This window comes from Homo sapiens, chromosome 12, assembly GCF_000001405.40.
Source record: "Homo sapiens chromosome 12, GRCh38.p14 Primary Assembly".
NCBI lineage: Eukaryota > Metazoa > Chordata > Mammalia > Primates > Hominidae > Homo > Homo sapiens.
The window spans coordinates 5,986,070-6,006,421 of NC_000012.12; the positions used below are offsets into that span (position 1 = coordinate 5,986,070).

General features: G+C 39.4%; 1 protein-coding gene across 2 annotated transcripts in view, besides 1 other annotated feature; it reads right to left on the reverse strand.

Annotated features, from left to right (window-relative positions):
* Positions 1–20,352, reverse strand: part of VWF (von Willebrand factor) — a 175,794-nt gene that overhangs the window by 37,193 nt on the left and 118,249 nt on the right. For both annotated transcript variants that reach the window (NM_000552.5, XM_047429501.1), the window contains exons 35-38: positions 9,933–10,153; positions 8,346–8,538; positions 7,793–8,134; positions 5,750–5,949 (exon numbers count right to left, since the gene is read on the reverse strand). In NM_000552.5, coding sequence (NP_000543.3) covers positions 5,750–5,949; positions 7,793–8,134; positions 8,346–8,538; positions 9,933–10,153 — 956 coding nt within the window. The remainder of the gene's footprint in view (positions 1–5,749; positions 5,950–7,792; positions 8,135–8,345; positions 8,539–9,932; positions 10,154–20,352) is intronic.
* Positions 10,394–10,688: a silencer, noted in NCBI's record as "tiled region #15487; HepG2 Repressive non-DNase unmatched - State 23:Low, and K562 Repressive non-DNase unmatched - State 24:Quies". NCBI's record gives its function as "represses a minimal TATA promoter and a strong SV40 promoter by Sharpr-MPRA in HepG2 and K562 cells {active_cell/tissue: HepG2 | K562}" and the evidence as "EXISTENCE:reporter gene assay evidence [ECO:0000049][PMID:27701403]".

The window sequence follows — 20,352 nt, forward strand, 5'->3', positions numbered from 1 at the left end:
GGAGGACAGCAAAACTCTTGAAAGCATCACATTCTTGATGCCCGCAGTGACTTTAGAGGCCTGAGTGCAGTTCTCTGATTTTTCAAATGGGAGACGGCCCAGGGCAGAGAGCAGCCTTCTCGAAGGTACACACAGCCCCACAGCACAAGGCTTTGAAGTCAGGAACTCCTGAACTCTAACAAAGGCTGCATTCCGCTGTGCCTCAGTTTCCTCACCTGTAAAATGAGCGTACTCAAGCCTGCCTTGCAGGACTGTTGTAAGGAGTGAGAAACTGTGATTAGCACAGGGTACACAGCAAAGAGCTCCACTAATAAGAAGCAGAGCCAGGACTCAGTCTCCCTCTGGATTCAGCCATAAAGTTAAATTTAAACTTAAAATTAAATTCAAGTGAAATTGCCCCTGAAGAAACACATTCTTATCCAGTAGCTCAAAGGCCTCTAAGAAGTTCCCAGGTCAAGAAGGTCTTACTTATTACTTCCACAGTCAGCAATCAGTCAGCTAAGAAGGAAGATCAAATACCCACAAGTAAGGCCCCCTTCCCCCAAAGTGCCCTGCCCTCCTTCAGGATTAACCCCTCTGGTCCTGCCCTTGACACCTTTCACTCACTCAATAAATGATAGCAGCTAACATTCAGATGCCACCTGCTGTGTGCCACTGTGTTGAGGACTTTATTTAAATCACTCATGTAATCCTCACTGCAGTCCTACGGTGAGGATATGTTTTACCACTGCCCTCACTTTTCCAATGAGAAAGCTAAGGCACCTGCTAGGTTCCCACAGGCACAGCGACAGAGTGAGGATTTGAATCCAAATCCATGGTTTGTTTCTTTGTTATTTTATGTTTTGGTTTTTGTTTGTTTGTTTGTTTGTTTGTTTTGAGACAGAGTCGCACTCTCTCGCCTAGACTGCAGTGCAGTGGCATGATCTCGGCTCATTGCAACCTCTGCCTCCCGAGTTTAAGTGATTCTCCTGCCTCAGCCTCCCAAATAGTTGGGACTATAGGCATGTGCCACCATACCCAGCTAATTTTTGTATTTTAGTAGAGACAGGATTTCACCATGTTGGCCAGGCTGGGTCTCGAATTCCTGACCTCAAGTGATCCACCTGCCTCAGCCTCCCAAAGTGCTGGGATTACAGGTGTGAGCCACTATGCCCGGCCCAAATCCATGGTTTTAAACCACCATGCTCTGCTGCCTCCCACAGGTAACTAATAATAAATATGTTCAAGATATTTTTCTAAGAGTTTTACATTTATGTACTTTATTTTCCTAATAATAACACTACCAGATAAGTAGTAGTATCTATATTTACAAATAATGAAACTGAGACACCAAGAAGTTAAGAAATTTGACCAAGTGGCACATCCAGGCTTCGAACTTAGCATTCTGGCCCCAGACACCACAGGCCTAGCCTCTTGCAGCACAACTGCTTCTCATCAACAGACACAGTGCCCATCGTGGGCAGGTCTGAACACACCATCCTAGCCCTCGAATGGCTGACAGTCAGGTTGAGGAAATAAGACTCATTCGTGAAAATCTGAATGAGAAAAATAAATTGTGATACACACACACCGTGGAATACCACCTAGCAATGAGAAGGAGAAAACTATCAAAACAGACAGCATCATGGATGAATCCCAAAAGCGTTATGCTGGGTGAAGGAAGCCAGGCAGAAAAGAAGTGCGTAGGCATGATTCCATTTATGTGAAATTCCAGAAAATGTAAACGAATCTATAGTGACAGAAAGCAGACCAGTAGTTGTCTAGGGTTGAGGGATATATTTAAAAGGGCATAAGCTAACCTTTGGGGGATGGAAATTCATTATCTTGGTTATGTCAATGGTTTTATAGGTGTGTACATATGTCAAAACCTATCAAATTGTACACTTTAAATATGTGCTGTTTGTGGCATGTAAATTATATCTCAATAAAGCTATTTGTAAAAATAAAAAATAAAAGAGCAGTAAGAGTGCAAAAGGAGAGTCCACTAAGATTGGGCACTCCAGAGAGTCTCACAAGGGTGCACCTATGAAGCACAGGAAGACTTGGGCAAAGGGGAAAGGAGGAGGAATTCCAGGTGGGAAACAGCTAACAAAGGCACAGACGAAGGAACACTCCCGCAGTGCCCGGCATCACAGGTGAGGCAGGTGGCTGAAGACAATGGAGGAGGCCCTGCCTCACAGAGAAGAGCTAAATAAAGACAACCCTGGCGACAGCATGCAGGACGGAAAAGGGAAGGACTAGGAATAAAAACCAGAAAAGACACAGCGGCTGCCACTCCAGCTGGGAAGGTGGAGGGAGGGGCCCAGGGCGCTGGCCTCGGAGGGCTGGGGCAGGGGGTCGAATTGGCAGACATGAGGGGATGCGGAAGGAGAGAGTCATGTTCTGTATATGTTTCAGTGTTCTTTTTTCTCTCCTTTTAAACGCAGACCTCAGATATTTAAACTCAAGAATAAATCACACAATTTTCCAACTATCCTGAGAATGGGTAACACACAACAGATGACCAAAAGCAGGTGTCCAACCTCCTCCGCTGGGGATTTTCATTTCCCAGGAAGCTTAAGGCCTGCCCAAGGCAGGGAAAAGAATAAAAATTAAAAATTTAAAAAACAAGCTAAGGCCAAGCTTCTAAAAGCAACCGTAGTGGCTCTCCAGGCCTGGCCAGGCTATGCAGCAACGCGGCCGGCAGATGGCACTGCTGCACAAGCCCAGGCCAACTGCAGGCAGGCAGTCGCAATCGCCAGGTTCCAGGGCCCAGGCGTGACTATCACCAGGCCAGAACCGGTATGAGAGCCAGCAGGAGTTAAAGTCTGAATGAAGGTGACAAAAGATCGGCCTGCAGAGAATAAGGTGGGAAAACTGACATTTTCAAGGCCCAAGGTCAAAGAAGGACACAAGCAATTCATCATGCACCACCCACCACCAGCCAATGTGATGGGGGATGCAAATGAAATGCAAACACTGAGCCCAGCTAGGGACAGCAGAGACTAAGGGAGAGGGAAGGAGGCTACGGGCCAGAGCTTCTGGGCCATGGACAAGGTTCCTGCTAAACTTGTGCCTGTCACTACAGCACCCACCACCACCAGCAGCTCCACTGAGCCAGGGACAGCCTGTGCAGGCTCTTGGTCCCTTCTGATCCTACTCCAAAGACTCACCTCTTTAGACTCTGTTTTGTAAAATAAACAAGAGCTATGAAAACTAGTGAATATTTTGCTCTTCTGAAATTACTACAATAGTTTTATACCCTAGTTTATTTCCCTTAATAAAAGGTTTTCTGGGCTTTATTTTTCAGTTTAAAAAAAAAAGTTTCTTTAATGGAAATGTTCTTCACATTAGGTTTTTATTCTTTCTCTGCTTTGAAAGTCAAAGTTGAAAATGCACGTGGCTGGATATGATGTTTGTTTTCATTCATTTAAACTGTATTTTCTGAAATCACTAAAAGTGGCTGTGTTGTTTTCAAAGTTTTCAATTAACTAATTTTATTTTACCTGATTTTAAAATATATTTATAAGACGGTTTCTACATCCAAAATATTTGGATGGAAACTTTATACAACTTGAATGCATATTCTAATGTGTTGGACTGAAGATGAGGCGGGCAGTGAAAGGGGAAAATAGCACCAGAAAGGAGAAGCAAAGGATAGGGGTTTGGAGACACTAAGATAAAGTTCACAGTCTTCCTGCTCTCAGGACCTTGCAGACATTTGACACTCATGAGCCAGAAATGCTGCAAACTTGAGCTCACTTCTCATCACAGAACGCCAAGGAAAAGATCATTTCTGTCTCCTTCTGAGAGCAAGCATTTTGCCACTACTAGTAAAACCGGTCTGAAATTACCACAGGTTTCTAGCCCCATATGTAAATTGGTCCACATCATTCAAGCCCTGCAGGAGCTCAGGAGCTATACAAATCAAGGAGAGGAATATAAGGTTTTGTCAACTCATTTAGGGAATATCACAGAACAGGCAATTACTTAACTTGGCAAGTTGAAATATGGCAGTAGAGTAGGACTTTAGCTCATCTATTCCACGGTGAGGACAAATTGGATCCACTAGGACAAAGCCCAACAACTAAACTAGAGCAGATGAGATCACTATAAGTGACTATAAGTAATAGCCCTAATGGATACCCATGCTCCAATGAACATGAGTTAGCCCAGAGTTCAGCTCACAGTTCCAGTGAGGTCAATGGCAGGGCTAGGACACTATAGGATGACTGATGTTATGAATATAAATCCCAGCTTTATCACCTCATGCCATTGAGCCTCAGTCTCATCCATTCAATAGGATGTGCGATTATGACCCTATAGAGCTTTGGGGAGAATCATATAAAATGGTCCCTATCCTGGCTTATAACATCAGGGACAGAATAGTGTAGTTACTGAAATGTTGTTTTCACTATTCTGCAGGCTGGTTAGCTACATTTACCATGAGTTCTCCTATTCGTGGTTGAACATAGTGGTAAGTCACTCTACTTGGTCCACTTAGCAAGAATGGTCCTCCTTGGCGATGAAGACATTAGGTCTTGAGTGCAGTCCATGATCACAAAACACATTCTCCTTTCCTAGAAGCCAAATATGCTTCTATCTCTACCACGGTCTGTAGTATCACTGTCAAGCATGAAGGACAGGGCCACTGCACACATTCACATGTACACGTTCACATGTGCACAGACACACACTGCCCCAGATCCTACAAATATACACGGGGTCAACTTTGAAGAGAGATGACAGCCATTTTAGGCCAAGACGGAGGAGTCTGGTAAATATGCTTTCAAAATACACTCAATAACTCCCATAGAGCTAAAAAAAAAAAAAAAAAAAAAAAAAAAAAAAAAAAAAAAATTTTGATGACTCAGTGACTCCCAAGCAAATCAGCCCAAAAAAGATGCAGCAAAAGGGCCATTTCATATAGTGGAAAGAGCCAGATCTTTGGAGTCACATAGAGCTTCAAATTCTGAGATCAACTCCATTACTTATAAATTGTTTCCATGGGTAACTTACTGAGCTCTTTAGGTCTTAGTTTCTTCATAGGATTTTTGTATTTATGAGTGACACAGGATACAATAATGTATTCTGTGGAATCCCAGTCCCAAGGGATTCTCACACACACACACACACACACACACACACACACACACACGCATGCACACACACGCTCCATGATCAAATAAGTTTGAGAAACAAAAACTCTCTTAAATATCTGCAAGGTACAGTAGTATATTAAAAAGACTAAAGAGTTCTGCAATAAAGAAACCTGTTTAACTATGGTTAGCTGGTGTTCTTTAAACTCACTTGACCACAAGTAACTGTTAATACCCTGCAAAATACACCTTTGAAAAACACTAAGATAATGAATATATTGGGTTTAGCACAATCAAGGTACATAATCTCTCTTAACAATGGCAGACATTATGACACAAAATATTCTTTTCCCTTTCCCTCCTGGATTTCTGTATCATTCTGCTTAAATGACTATAATCATAAAGACAATAGTAATAACAATCATAATAATAATGTGGTAACAACACTTTGATGTTTAATCCCACAGATAATACATGACAGACGCAGGATTTGAACCAAGAGCTATCTGAATGCAAGGCCATTACACAATACTGCCTCCCTATCCCTAATGATCCCCGTAAGAGTCAACCCTGCTGCCACAGTTGGAAGAGGCCAATCACTGGTGAACATATCTCCCTTTTGACCCAAGAGGGAAGCAGCCCCATGGGAAGTGAAAGGCCCAGGCTCCTACCTGGTGCTGGACTCCATCCTCACCAATGCACTGAGTGCAGGCCTCTTCAGGGACACAGCTGCCTTCCAACATGACTTTATCTGGAGGGCAGAAACAGCCTTCGGAGGGATGGTCCCCACAGGAGCTCACGTTGCCATCACAGTGCCGGGGACAGCCATGCTCACAGTGGTTGTAGACCAGAGATGGTGGGCATGACATAGCTGTAGACAGAGAAGGAGGTCACTTGCAAAGGCCCACACCAGCCAGAGTGAAATGGGCACAGCTGATTCAACATGGTTAATCATCAGACAAACTTGCCAGGGCAGAGACGGCTATTTTCCACCAATCTTCATCCTCCCCACCTTCCATAGAAACAGAACTTTAGGCTGGGCATATGACCACCAGAATGAGGACTATATTTCCCAACCTTTCTTGCAGCTAAGTGTAGTCACATGACTAGTTCTGCCCAATGAACTGTAAAAGAAAGTATAGTATCCCATGGCAGCTTCCAGGAGTCCATTTTAAAAGACAGCTATGCATGCTCCTTGTCCCTCTTCCCTCCTTCCCTCAGCTTCCTCCTTGGAGCATGAATGTGATGGCTAGAACTCCATCTTAGACCATGAAGAAAAAGACCACACCCAACTGAGGGCAGAGCAAGGAACTAGAATCCAGTTTGAGGCCCAGAATCAGCTGGAGCCACCGCCTCCGATCAGTTGTATGACAGAAAATTTTAATTCTCTGCTACTAGCAGCCAAATCTAGTCCTAACAAATGTTGTGAACCTGTGTGTCCTTAGTAGGTTTTGTTGTCCTTTTTTGAATACATATGTCTTTTATGCTTGAAAAGCATCTTTAAATTAGGAATACACAGCTTAGAACTGCCTTGGGAGAGAAGCTACAAGGTGATTCATTTCCCTCGTTCTGATTCGCTCAACAACTTCCTCACATCCTCAAGGCACCAAGGCAGGCAGGTGATGGACGAAGTTTCCAAGGATTTGGAGCACCAAAGATTTCCCTCTGTGTGCACAGTAAATAACCAGGAGGTACACAAAGAAATCAGTATGCAGAGAAAGTGCTTCCAGTAACTTAGAAACTAACATTTGCCCCTTGATTTGCAGGCTGATTGGGAGGAGGCAGTATCATCCACATGGCCTCAGAAAATCAGAGCCCTAAGGAACCTACAGGTTATCTAGGCCAACTATCTCATTCTAGGATGCAGAAACTGAGGTCCAGAAAGACTAAGAGAACAGTCCATCCACCAGCTGAGCTGGGACTAGGATGCCCAAGTCCTCCAGACCCAGCTCAGAGCTGCTGACAGTTCCATGATGATAAACTCTGAGGCTCTAACAGGCATGTACATATTGATTTCCCTCAAAAAAATAGTCGAGGATTATATTTGATGACTGAGGGTTTCAAGTTCAGTATTCTTTTCACTCCAGCACCCCTGAGGGACAGGAGCCATATCTGATTCATTTCAGTTTCCCCTGTACTTTAAATAAATGCCAAGTCCAGGTAGGGAAGCTGACCTTGGGGAGGGGCTGTCTGCACTAGCAATCCTGCAGTGTTTATAACTGAGAAGACTCTTGGCAACCAATGATTCTACTTGCACTTCAAAATCCTGCTCAGGCATGGACTACACTGTAAGTGTGTGCTAAAGCTTGGTGGAATTTCAAATTCAATGTGACTGGTTACACAGCCCTTTACAGATGCCTATATGTGTCTAACACATTAAAATCGCATTTGTCTGAACTATAGAAATACTAATGGAAAGGACCATGCATTAATTTACATAAAAATTCTACGTGCAGAGTGTATGTGTGTATATATATACATATATATGTGTGTGTGTGTGTGTATATATATATATATACACACACACACATATACATATATGTATATGTATATATATATCTTCCATCTTATTTGATCCTAACTGGAATCCCAGGTCATACGAAATACAGGGATTTTCATCCTTATTAGCCAGATAAAGAATCTGGGGCACAGAGAGGCTGAGCAAGCCCAGTTAGCTGGTCTCCAGGATTTTCAGAGGTAACTTGGAGACTCACCACAGAAATCAGGTGTCCTCCAGTCAACGCAGACCCCGTTGGTCCGACAGAGGTGGGCATAAGAGGCGATCACCTCACACACTTGCTCCTGGTGGCAACTGTCCTGCTGGCAGATGGCATAGAATGTGGCTGGAGCCAGGACCTTGTGGCATTCAGCAAACAGTGGTAAGAGGAGGACCTGGCAGTGGGAGCTGTCGGGGACAAGACACTGCTCCTCCAGGATGGGCTGGCACGTCTGCCCTGGCCGCTGCACAGTCCATTCCTGAACAAGTGTTTTCCAGTCTGTGGTGACTGTGCCATCCCTCAGCATGAAGTCATTGGCTCCGTTCTCATCACAGATCCCTAGAGAAACAAACAAACAAAAAAAAGATAAACTGAGTGGCCCTGGGTACAAAAACATTGATGCCAGAGACAGGCCATTCTTGATCCTCACCAGAATCTGACCCTCGCTACTAGACCCTGAAATATAAGCATCCAAGAGCCTCAGAGTAGAGCAAGTAAGGTTTATAAATGTATAGCAGGGGGAGAAGAGGAGTTGAGAAAATGTTCTTACCACACAGACCATACGTCTTTGAAGCAAAAGTCTTGGGGCTGAGCTGCAGTTGGAACTCATTGTTTTGTGGAGTGAATGTGAAGATGTGACCAAGGTGATTGAATCTGACCTCATGCATGATGGCACCATAAACGTTGACTTCCATGTTCCCACCCACGTAAGGAACAGAGACCAGTCTCCCATTCACCGTCACCTGCACAAAGAAGAAAGAGCTCATCCGTAGTCCTAGCAATGAGGAATCCTAGGTTTTTAGGGAAGTTACCGAGAGTTCCTGCACATTCATCACACTCAACTGCAACATCAGCCACAAACCTTGATATTTGTCGGCAGCTCTTCTAAGATAAAGAAGAGCTTGACTAGAAAACAGAGCTTGACTTTACAGAGCTTGACCAGAAAACAGGCTGTTGTAATACTGTACGGGTGGCCATGCACCAAGAACCTAAAAGCCTGGAGATTAAAAGGAACCTTGAGTCTATGTGACTCAACAGGGAAGGGCAATGCCTTTAAGACAGGCTGGGAAAGTCGCCTTATTGCCAACTCATCAGAGCAGTGTCTCCAAGAGCATCTAGCAGCTGTGTCCAACCCTTTGAATGCAAGGACATTTTTGCTTCTCTGTGGTGGTGGATATCAGAAAATTATGCCCAGACCTTTTTTTTAGCTCATCAGCTATCGTTAGTGTTAATGCATTGTATGTGTGGCCCAAGACAATTCCTCTTCCAGTGTGGCCCAGGGAAGCCAAAAGGTTGGACACTGGTGTTTTAATGGGACCACTTTAAGTCTTCTTTGTGTGTATGTGTGCCACTAGACGCTCTTTCTTGGGCAGCCCCACCATATATCATATCAAACACATTAAAATGTACTCACATTCCACAATGAATATAATTTTGCTGTAAAATTTTTGGAAGGATTTTTTATCATTTTGATTTTTTAATTTTTGGCTATGAGTTACTCACTTGATATATGACTAAGATTTTTCTGCAATTATTGTTCAAATTCAGGAATTCTTGCGAAGTGAGAAAATCTAGCTTACAAGTTGTTTTCACACAATGAAATATTTATGATTTCTACACGAACAAGTAAAGAAGTTGGCATAGTGTAACCTTTTGTAAGCATTTAATCAATCATTTATATATATATATATCAGTTTTGCAGTTTTCTTTTCAAATTTTGGAGCCTGACGTTTTATGTAGGCCTTAAATATTTTCAAAAGACCTAATTTAGGCCATAAATGTTTCCCTTTGGAAAGCTTACAGGGTTTAGGCATTGGACTCATAATACCTTCCGAGTGAACAATCCTGATGCCAATCCCAATTCTCCACCAGTGCCAGAAACTGGCACTAAATTCACAATTTTATGCTATCTAAAAGTGATTCCATCTTGCAAATCTGAGCCCGGAACAACATGAAATCACGCCAAGACAAGGGGATGGCAATAAACCCCTCTAAGAAAGTGGTACTCCTCTCCTCCACTTAAGCAGAAGGCAGAGCTCCTAACAAGAGCATCAACTAAAAGCAACTGCCACCAGGTCCAGGTGGTTTTCCTGACATTCTATTGCCTTACCACGGATCCACAGAAAGTACTTCTCACCTCCATGTCACTGTGCAGCTCGACGGAGAGGGCACTGTGCTTCACCTCGATGGATTTCATGCAGCCCTGCCTTGCTCCAGGGCTGCAGGCACCATTATGGAGAATCACCTCCAGGTCCTGCTCCTTGTTTTGAAATAGGACATAAGAACAGCTGCCAGTCAGCTTGAAATTCTGCCCATCAAAGGTCACGATGTGCCGAGTGGAGCTGCCTGTGCACACGCCTGGACAGAGAGAAGCAGAGGATGGATGCGACGTTATCCAAACCCCCATGCCTACTACATGCAGACAGGCAGGTGTGACCAAGTTGCACACAGATAAATACAGTAGAGAATGGAACAGGCCCTTTGAGGTCATATAGAACAATTTCCTCCTTTTTTTACAGATTAGGAAACTGGGGCTCTGAGAGGTAGAGAGGTTTAGGTAAGTAACACTTGGCCATTAAATATTTTCCTGTTACATAAAATGTGGCAAATTATAGAACCACACTTCTAAAAAATTTAAATGTACAGTGTGAATAATCCATTCTACAGGGATGCCTTGGCCCAGAAAACAAAGTTAAGTTCCAGGGGTGTTATGACTCGTGGAAATTAAGAAAAGCTAAGCAAGCTATGAGCTCATGATCTCATTGTAAAGAAAATTCACCTAAAGACACGTGTCCTTTCAGCTGCCAAGTGACTAAGGTAATGGTACAAGTGACCATGTTGACTTAATCCCTTAAGAGATCGCACAGGAGAAATATTTCCAGAGCCAAAAAAAAAAAAAAAAAAAAAATGGTTGAGTCTCAATGCTCCCTCATTTGACCCTGAGTCATTCACATAATTGGCAAATTCTCAAGATTCCTATTAAAACATTATTGGTGAATACTGATCATTTTGCACCTACATAAGATGATTTGGTAAAAATCCTCACATTGAAGGCACCACCACCATAAATGATTTGAAAGCTAATCTTGGACCTAAGTAAAGTTGGAGATAAGCTTTCCAGACAAACCACGACCACATCTACAATGGCAGGTGAATACATGCCCAAGAGCTGAGACACAGATTCGGTGGAGCAGGGAGGCCCCACTAACATCCCTCACTCATAGCCAAGCCTGAGCCAACCTCTCCCTATGGGGGTTACTGTCAAGCAGCACAACCACTGACAAATGATGGGTCTGGAAGCACCATCAGAGCTAAGCAGCCTCCCCAGAAGTTCTACTAAAAATCCCCTATGTCCTTGAGCAGTCAGTCATTTCCAAGTGACAGTACTGAATACTACTGGCTTACTAACATCCATGCTGCAAGTGATCCCCAACACGCAGCTGTTGATATTGTCACGTCAAGGAGTCAGCCCAACTGCCATAAGGATGGAATAAATCACAAGGCAAAGAAATGGTCTTAGCTCACACAAGGCAAGTTAGTGAGAATGGCTCTGCCCACCCTAAGATGAACTGTGACTGTGTAATGGGTACTTTACAGCCAGAGAAACTAGGGGTTGGTTTCTGTTTCACTTGCTTGCACTGTGACCTTGGATCAGTTACTTAACTTTACTGATCCTCTCCTATCTCCTCTGCATAATAGGCCTATAATCGATACCTTTTAGTATTCTTGTGAGAATTAGTTGCAATATAGATGAAATGCCTACCTAATAGTGCATGACTCACATGTGCATGTTTAACAAACAGATCTCCAAATCTTTATGAATAAGACACAAAATAAATTCAATAGTTTGTAAATTGCTGTATTGTAGGTATAGTAAAACTTGAGGTCCTTCCATCTCCAGAATACCAAATTACCTCCCAACAAACCATCACATTATACTCCAGTTTAGTGATTAGTTTTAATGAGCCATATATATTAACACATTCCAATGTTCAGGACATAGAGAAAGTTAGGCCGAACCAATTAAAAATTAATACATTAGAGTTATATAACAAAATGTTACTGCACAGTTATAAAATATTATCACAGAGTAAAGTATATCACTCATAAATATCTCCTGAAATCATTTTATCTCATCTCTCTCCTTTTCTTCAACATCTTCTTACTCATTATCTTTCCAAGTGACAATACAAATATTTGTGATTGAATATTATATTAAAACTTTTGGCTGATTGTCAAAATGTAATGATATCAGATACTAAAGTGAATTGTTAGCAAAACACAAATGTTCAAAAAGACGTCCAGGTAGCCAAAGTGGGCCCTAATACTTCAGCTATTAATATTGTCAAGTTGGCCGGGCACAGTGGCTCATACCTGTAATCTCAGCACTTTGGAAGGCCGAGGCGGGCGGATCACAAGGTCAGGAGATCGAGACCATCCTGGCTAACATGGTGAAACCCCAACTCTACTAAAAATACAAAAAATTAGCCAGGCATGGTGGCGGGCACCTGTAGTCCCAGCTACTCGGGAGGCTGAGGCAGGAGACTGGCGTGAACTCGGGAGGCAGAGCTTGCAGTGAGCCGAGATTCCGAGACTCCGTCAAAAAAAAAAAAAAAAAAAAAAAAAAAAAAAAAATATATATATATATATATATATATATATATATATATGGTCAAGTCAAGGAGCCAGCCCCAACGGTCATGAGAATAAAATAAACTACAAGGCAAATAAATATGTAGGGAGATATATATCCTCTGAACACAGTGAAGAACAATAAGAACAAATTAAATTACTATGAAAAAAGCATGCTTTCAGCATAAGTAGAAAACAAGAAAATACCCAAATTTTATTTATTTTTATTTTTATTTTTATTTTTTTTCCAAGAGAAGTGTCACTCTTGTCACCAAGGCCAGAGCGCAATGGCGCGATCTTGGCTCACTGCAACCTCCGCCTCCCCGGGTTCAGGCGATTCTCCTGCCTCAGCCTCCCAAGTAGCTAGGATTACAGGCATGCGCCACCACACCTGGCTAACTTTTGTATTTTTAGTGGAGACAGAGTTTCACCATGTTGGCCAGGCTGGTCTCGAACTCCTGACCTCGTGATCTGCCTTGACCTCCCAAAGTGCTGGGATTACAGGCGTGAGCCACTGCACCCAGCCAAAAACATCCAAACTTTAAAATAGCCGTAAATAAAGTAAAAGAGAAAAAACACCAAATCCCACCCAGCAAAAATCCCTCATCCTCTAACTGTTAGCCTTTGTCATGAGCAAGGACAATCCAAGGAGAACTGAAAAGAAGAGAGAAGAGAGTGGGCAGCAAGCCTAAAATTTCTCTATAACCACCACTACCACCAGAAAGAAAAGCCTATCCTAAGGGCAAAAATATTTTGAAGTATCCCAACAGACCAGAGCAGGTGCTAAAAACACACGCAATATTTGGTGACAACCTGAAAAGCATAGTTTCAAGGGGACTGGGAGCAAAAAGAAATGGAAAGGTGCTTGGAAAGTGACTGGAGACATAAAAATAAAGCAAACGGGAAAGTCAGGGTCCAGAAAAACCTGAAAAATCAGAGGCCACACAATCCTTCAGGATCCACATGTACACACATACACACACACACACACACACACACACACACACCACTAAGGAAATGACTTTTCTATACTAATAGAAAGGAGGGTCACTGAACCAGAAATCTTGTAAAACCCAAAATTCACAAAATGAACAGATTAAGCAAGTCCATAAAAGCTTCTTCAAAAGATCAGAAAATGAGAACCAACACTCCTCATCTAATGAAAATTCCACAAAAAGGAAAAAACAAAAAACAAAATGTTATGACATAGAAGAAAACTATGAGACAATACTCAAACTGAATTAAATATACTCAAACATCTGCACAAATGAAAACCACCTTGAATCAGAATTTCAAAAACTAAGAAGAGAAATGAACAAAGACAAGAATAAATAAAAATAGAACTCAGTGAACTTGGTGGGGGTGGGTAATAAAAGTGCAAAGTCAACTCTGAAATAAAGACTAAATTATAAGTACCCAAGGAAGATGACATCAAAATAAGAATTTAATAAAGAGCATCAGAGAAAAGCAAAAAAAAACCAATCAAGAGAATGAAAATGAGTTAATGAAGAAAGTATAAAGGTCAAAGAGACAGTAATGAAAATGTAAGACAGGAGAAAAAATGGACTCTTAAAAGAGAAAACAAAACAATGGAACAGAACTAACACTTAAAGAATATAACTCATGAAAACATTCTGGAAATCAAAAAAGAACCAAATCTATGTATGGGAGTCATGTGCCAGATGTCCGGAAAAATTAACCCAAAACAGTCAACTCTGAGACATATTACAGTACACTATTAGACTTCAAACATAAAGAAAAAATTTTCCAGGCCTTCAGGCAAAAAGATCAAATAATTTACAAGGACAAAAGAATTATATTGGTATCAGAATTTTCAAAAGCAATATACAAAGCAAGGCAACAATGGAGCAGCATTTTTCAGAAATTTAGTGAAAGAAAATGTGAATCAAGAATTCTGTATTCAGCCAAGGTGCCCTTCTAGCATCAATGCTATAGAAAAACAGTTTTAAATACATAGGAATTAATGGAATTCTGTACACATAAGCCCTTCTTAAGATATCTACTAGAGACCCAGGCGCGGTGGCTCACGCCTGGAATCCCAGAACTTTGGGAGGCCGAGGCAGGCGGATCACGAGGTCAGGTGATGGAGACCATCCCGGCTAACACGGTGAAACCCCGTCTCTACAAAAAAAAAAATACGAAAAATTAGCCAGGCGTGGTGGCGGGCGCCTGTAGTCCCAGCTACTCGGGAGGCTGAGGCAGGAGAATGGCGTGAACCTGGGAGGCGGAGCTTGCAGTGAGCCGAGATCGCGCCTCTGCACTCCAGCCTGAGCCACAGAGCGAGACTCTGTCTCAAAAAAAAAAAAAAAAAAAAAAAGAAATCTACTAGAGAACATTTCCTCCAACTAAGAGATGACTAGGAAATGTTAACAAAACAACTAAAGTGAGCATTTTTATTTATATAGTCATAGATCTAAAACTAAAACGAAGAATGGAAGACTAATGTGCAAATGTTATATGCTGTGACAGTAGAAATAATAGAACTCGACAATGGGAGGAGAGGGGAGGGAACAAGAAAAGTTAGAATAACCTCATTGATTGTTGGATAGCCACAGGTAGAAGTTAAAGAATGCTATTAAAAACTGAAAAACTGATTAATGAATGCTTAAATTTAAAAATATGGGCCTGAAGGCATTTTAGAAAGGTATAACTTCAAAGGTAATGACAGGAACAAAAGCATAAACCTTCCTAGACACCTTAACGTATCACCACATTTATAAATGAAAAATATATAACAAACAATTATAAAATATAATGACGAAAGAAGATCAAACACAAGATGGCAATAAATGAGAATGGGCTTAACTTGTCTACTAAAACAAAAAGGTTTTCAATTCGGCTCAAAGGCAAGACCCAACTATTGCTATATAACTAAAATTCAGAAAGGCTAAAGTAAAGGGACAGACAAAGGATATCAAACAATAAGAAAACAGGGATGGAGATTTTGATATCAGACAAAGTAAAATTCTAGCCAAAAAAAAGATTAAATGTGACTAATAAGAGCATTCTGAACAGTATAATTCACAATGAAGCCATAACAGCTGTGAATATCTATGCACCAGACAACATCTTCATAGAGCAAAAACTATAGGAGAAGCAAGGAGACATTGGTAGACAAACTAATAACAGGATACTTTTAGACATCCCTTTCAGAACCAGATAGATAAAATGGGGAAAAGGTAAGTAAGACTATAGAAGACAAACATTAAAATCAAAATATGTAGTTCTCATGGAGGGGTGACAGGAAGAGAGCGAGGGATCTCATACTCTACACCCTGATAATAGAGAATACACCTTCACAAAAACTGATCATGTATTAGATCACGAAGAAAATAACGGTAACTTCCACAAAGTAGAACTATTACAGATACTCTCGTCAGAGTATAGTAAAATTAAAAATTTTTTAATTATTGTTTAAAAAGATCTTTACACTTGGAAATTTTTTTAATTTATGATATAAATCCTGGGTGAAAGGGACAATAAAAACAGATAGTACAGAATTTCTTTAGAAAATAATGATAATAAATACACTACATATCAGACTCATTGGGATACATATAAAGTGATCCTAGGAAAATTCATAACAGTAAACATTTCTGTCAATAAAAATAAAACAATGAAAATGAATGAAATTCCCAGTTCCAATTAAATAGAAAAGCACAAAAGGTAAACTAAAAGAAAATTCAAGGAAAGAAGTCATAAAATAGCAAGGATAAAAGCAGAAATCCATAAAGTAGAGAATATAAAAACAGTAAACATAATAAATAAATTGAAATCTTGATTTTTAAAAAAATCCAGAAAGACAAATCATGAGTTAATTTGATCAAGAAAAAAGATAATAAACATGTATATAAATTAACAAATGACAAAAGAAAATCGCTATTTAAAAAGAATTTTTGATATTATAAAAGATTACTGTGAAAATTTTACTTGTACCCTAGAGTATATACAAACAATAAACAAAATTTTAGTTTAAAAAAAAGACTACTTTCAAGACCTCTATACAATAAATGTGAAAATCTAGATGAAATGGATAAATTTCTAGGAAAATGGAGATTAACAAAATTAACTCCTGTAGATAAAAGACAAATCTTAAGCACACCAATTTACATGGAAGAATTAGAGTAAGTTAGTAGGAATTAAAGAAAGTTACTCCACCAAAAAAAAGAAACAAAAAACAAAATACCAACCCCAAATGATTTCACAAGGAAATTTTCCTAAACTTCCAAAGACCTGATAGTCCGATGCTCCATAAATTGTTCCAGAGTACTGAAAAGGAGAGAAAACTTCTTAAAGCTTTTAATGAAACCAGTTTTAACACCAATATCTAAACCAGATCAAGACAGTATTCCCCCACCACAAAAAAAAAACAAAAAACCTACAGGGTGGGAGACGGGGAAGATGGTGGAGTAAGAAGCACCAAATATCTGTCTCCCCACCTAGACAACAATAGCATTGGCAGAATCTGTCTCATGTAGTAAATCAACAGAAACTATCCCTGAGAAAGACCAGATGGTAGACTCACTAAAGAAAGACTTTAAAACAACTGTCTTAAAAATTATCAAAGAGCTAAAAGAAGATGTAGACAAAATCAAGAAAATGATGTATGAACCGAATGGAAATTTCAATAAAGAAATTGAAATCATAAAAAGGAACCAAAAAAGTTCTGGATATTATTGTAATCTTAGTTTGTGACTTCACTTTTTGTTTTCTACATGATTTAAGAGGCTAATGCATTAAAATTTATATACGTCTATGTTTTTGAACACACAGTGTATAAAGATGTAATGTTTATGACATCAATAACTGAAAGAGTGTGGGGATAGAGCTGTATAAGAGCAGAGTTTTGTCTGTTACCAAAGTTGAGCTGGTATAAATTCAAAGTACAGCATTATAACTTTAGGATGTTAAATGTAATCCCCATGGTAACCATAAAGAAAATAGTTATAGAATATACACAAAAGAAAGGAAACGGGAGTTAAAATGTTTCACTACAAAAAAAAAAAAATCAACCAAACACAAAGGATGACAACATGGATGAACCTTGAAGACATTATGCTAAGCAGAATAAGCCAGTCGCAATAGGAAAAATGCATAATTCCACTCAAAAGAGGTGCTTAGAGTAGTCTCATTCAGAGAGACAGAAAGCAAAATGGTTGTTGCCAGGGGCTGGAGGAAGGGGGAAATGGGGTATCATTGTCTAATGAATAAAGCATTTCAGTTTCACAAGATGAAAGAAGTTCTGGCAATGGATGGTGGTGATGGTTGCACAACAATGTGGATTTTCTTTCTCTCTCTTTTTTTTTTTTTTTTTTTGAGACGGAGTCTCGCTCTGTTGCCCAGGCTGGAGTGCAGTGGCAAGATCTCGGCTCACTACAAGCTCCACCTCCCGGGTTCACGCCATTCTCCTGCCTCAGCCTCCCGAGTAACTGGAACTACAGGCGCCCGCCACCACGCCCGGCTAATTTTTTGTATTTTTAGTAGAGACGGGGTTTCACCGTGTGTTAGCCAGGCTGGTCTCAATCTCCTGACCTCATTCATGATAATGTCACTGGATATATACTTAAAAATAGTTAAAAGGATAAATTTTATGTTATATGTATATTACTGAAAATTTAAATAAGTAGTGTTAAAATTGCTGACCAAAAATACTTATGAATGTCAAAACCAACGTACTAAATAAAATATTACCAAACAGAATCCAACACCACATTATGAAAATAACAAAGCATAGCCAAGTGGGATCAACATTAGGAAATTTCTTCAAATAATATACCATATCAATATATTTAAAGAAAAAAAATCAAGAGATTATCTCCATAGATGCTGAAAAAGCCTTCACCAACACCAAAATTCCACAATCACTCTTGACAAAAAAACACTCAAAAATGAGAATTGAGGGATACTTTCATAATATAAAATACATGATATGTGTGTGCACGTGTGTGTGTGCGTGTGTGTGTGTGCAAGATACTCCACTGCTATTCAACATTGTACTAAAAAGTTTATTAATGGAATTATACAAGAGAAATTAATTGGAGGCACAAAAATTGACAAAAAAGAAAAACAATTCTATTTGCAAATGACAAACCATCATACCCAGAAAACCCTAGAGAATCCATGATAAAACTAACTCAATAATAAAAGAATTCAGTAAAGCTATAGGATATGGAATTAACATATACAGATATATATAGGTTATATATAGATATATAGATGTTATATATATTGATATCAATACCCTTTATATACACAAATAATAAGTAGTTAAAGAACATAATGGAGAAGAAAAAAGTCTCATTTACAATTGCAACAAGGAAGATTCAATACTTGGAATAAACTTAGCAAGAAATATGCAAAACCCAAATGAATAAACCTGAAAACACTTCTAGAAGACAGACAAGTCAGCTTGAATAAGTGGACAAACTTGTTCTTGGATAGGATGATTTAACATCATAAAAATGCCAGTTCTCCCAAAGTTAATGTATAAATTTAATGCAATTCCAATAAAAATACCAACAAACTTTTTATGGAGGTAAACAAGTTGACACTAAAGTCTATACAGAAAAAACAAACATAAAAGAATAGCCAGGAAAACACTTTAGAATAAAGCTATGTGGAGGTACTAGTGCTACCAGACAATAAAACATACCATAAAGCCTTTAATGACAAAATATTAGAGGTATTTCCTCTTAATTAAGACAGTGTGGTAATTAAGACAATGTGGTTTTGGTATATGAATAGCTTACAACAAGTGGAATCAGAAAAAAAGTTCAGAAATAAGCCCATGCACATATGAAAATTTGGTTTATGATTATTATTCTTATCTCACACCACTGGGGCAAATATTAACATGTCAATAAATAGTACTGCAACCTATATCACAGATAATGAGCTAATAGTTCAAATATTTAAAATAACGAATAAGATTAAAACCCAATGGAAAGTAGAAATAATGAATAAATTTAGGGAAGAAAATAGACATCCAGCTTCAAGAAGCCCAAAAGACTCCAACTAGAATGAATTTAAAGAAGTCCGCTACAACATATATTATAATCAATTTGTCAAAAGTCAAAGACAAAAACAGAATTTTGAAAGCAGCAAGAGAAAAGCAACTTTTCATATAAAAGGGGGCCACAATGAGACTATCAACAAATTTCTCAGCAGAAACCTTGCAGGCCAGAAGGGAGATGGATGATCTATTCAAAAGAAAACAACGGGCAGCCAAGAATACTCTGTCTAGCAAAACTGTCTTTCAAAAATAGAGGGGAAATAAAGACTTTCTCATGTGCACAAAAGCTGAAAGAGTTCATCACCACTATACCTGCCTTATAAGAAATGCTAAAGGGAGTCCATCATGTTGAAATAAAAGAATGCTAGGCAGCAACATGAAAACATATGAAAGGTAAAATTCCTGGTAAAGGTAAATATATAAACAAATATAGAATATTTTAATACTATAATGACAATGTGTAAATCTTTGAATTCTGGTATAGTACTTAAAAGACAAACTTATAAAAATAACTATCACTATAAAAATCAGTTAATGAATACACAACATTAAAAAATATAATTTGTGACATCAATAATGTAAAGTGGGGGAGAGGCAGTAAAAGAGTAGAGTTTTCGTGAGCAATTGAAATTAAGTTGTTATAAGCTTAGAATAGACTGTTATAAGTATAGGCTGTTTTATGTAAGCTTCATGGTAACCACAAAGAAAATATCTATAGAAGATACACAAAAGGAAATGAGGAAGGAGTCAAATCTCATCATTACCCAAAAAAATCAATGAAACACAAAGAAGGGCAGTAAGAGTAGAAAAGAGGGACAAAAAAGCTACAAGACTGACTGAAAATAATTACAAAATGGCAACAGTAAGTCCTTCCCTATCCATAGTTACTTTA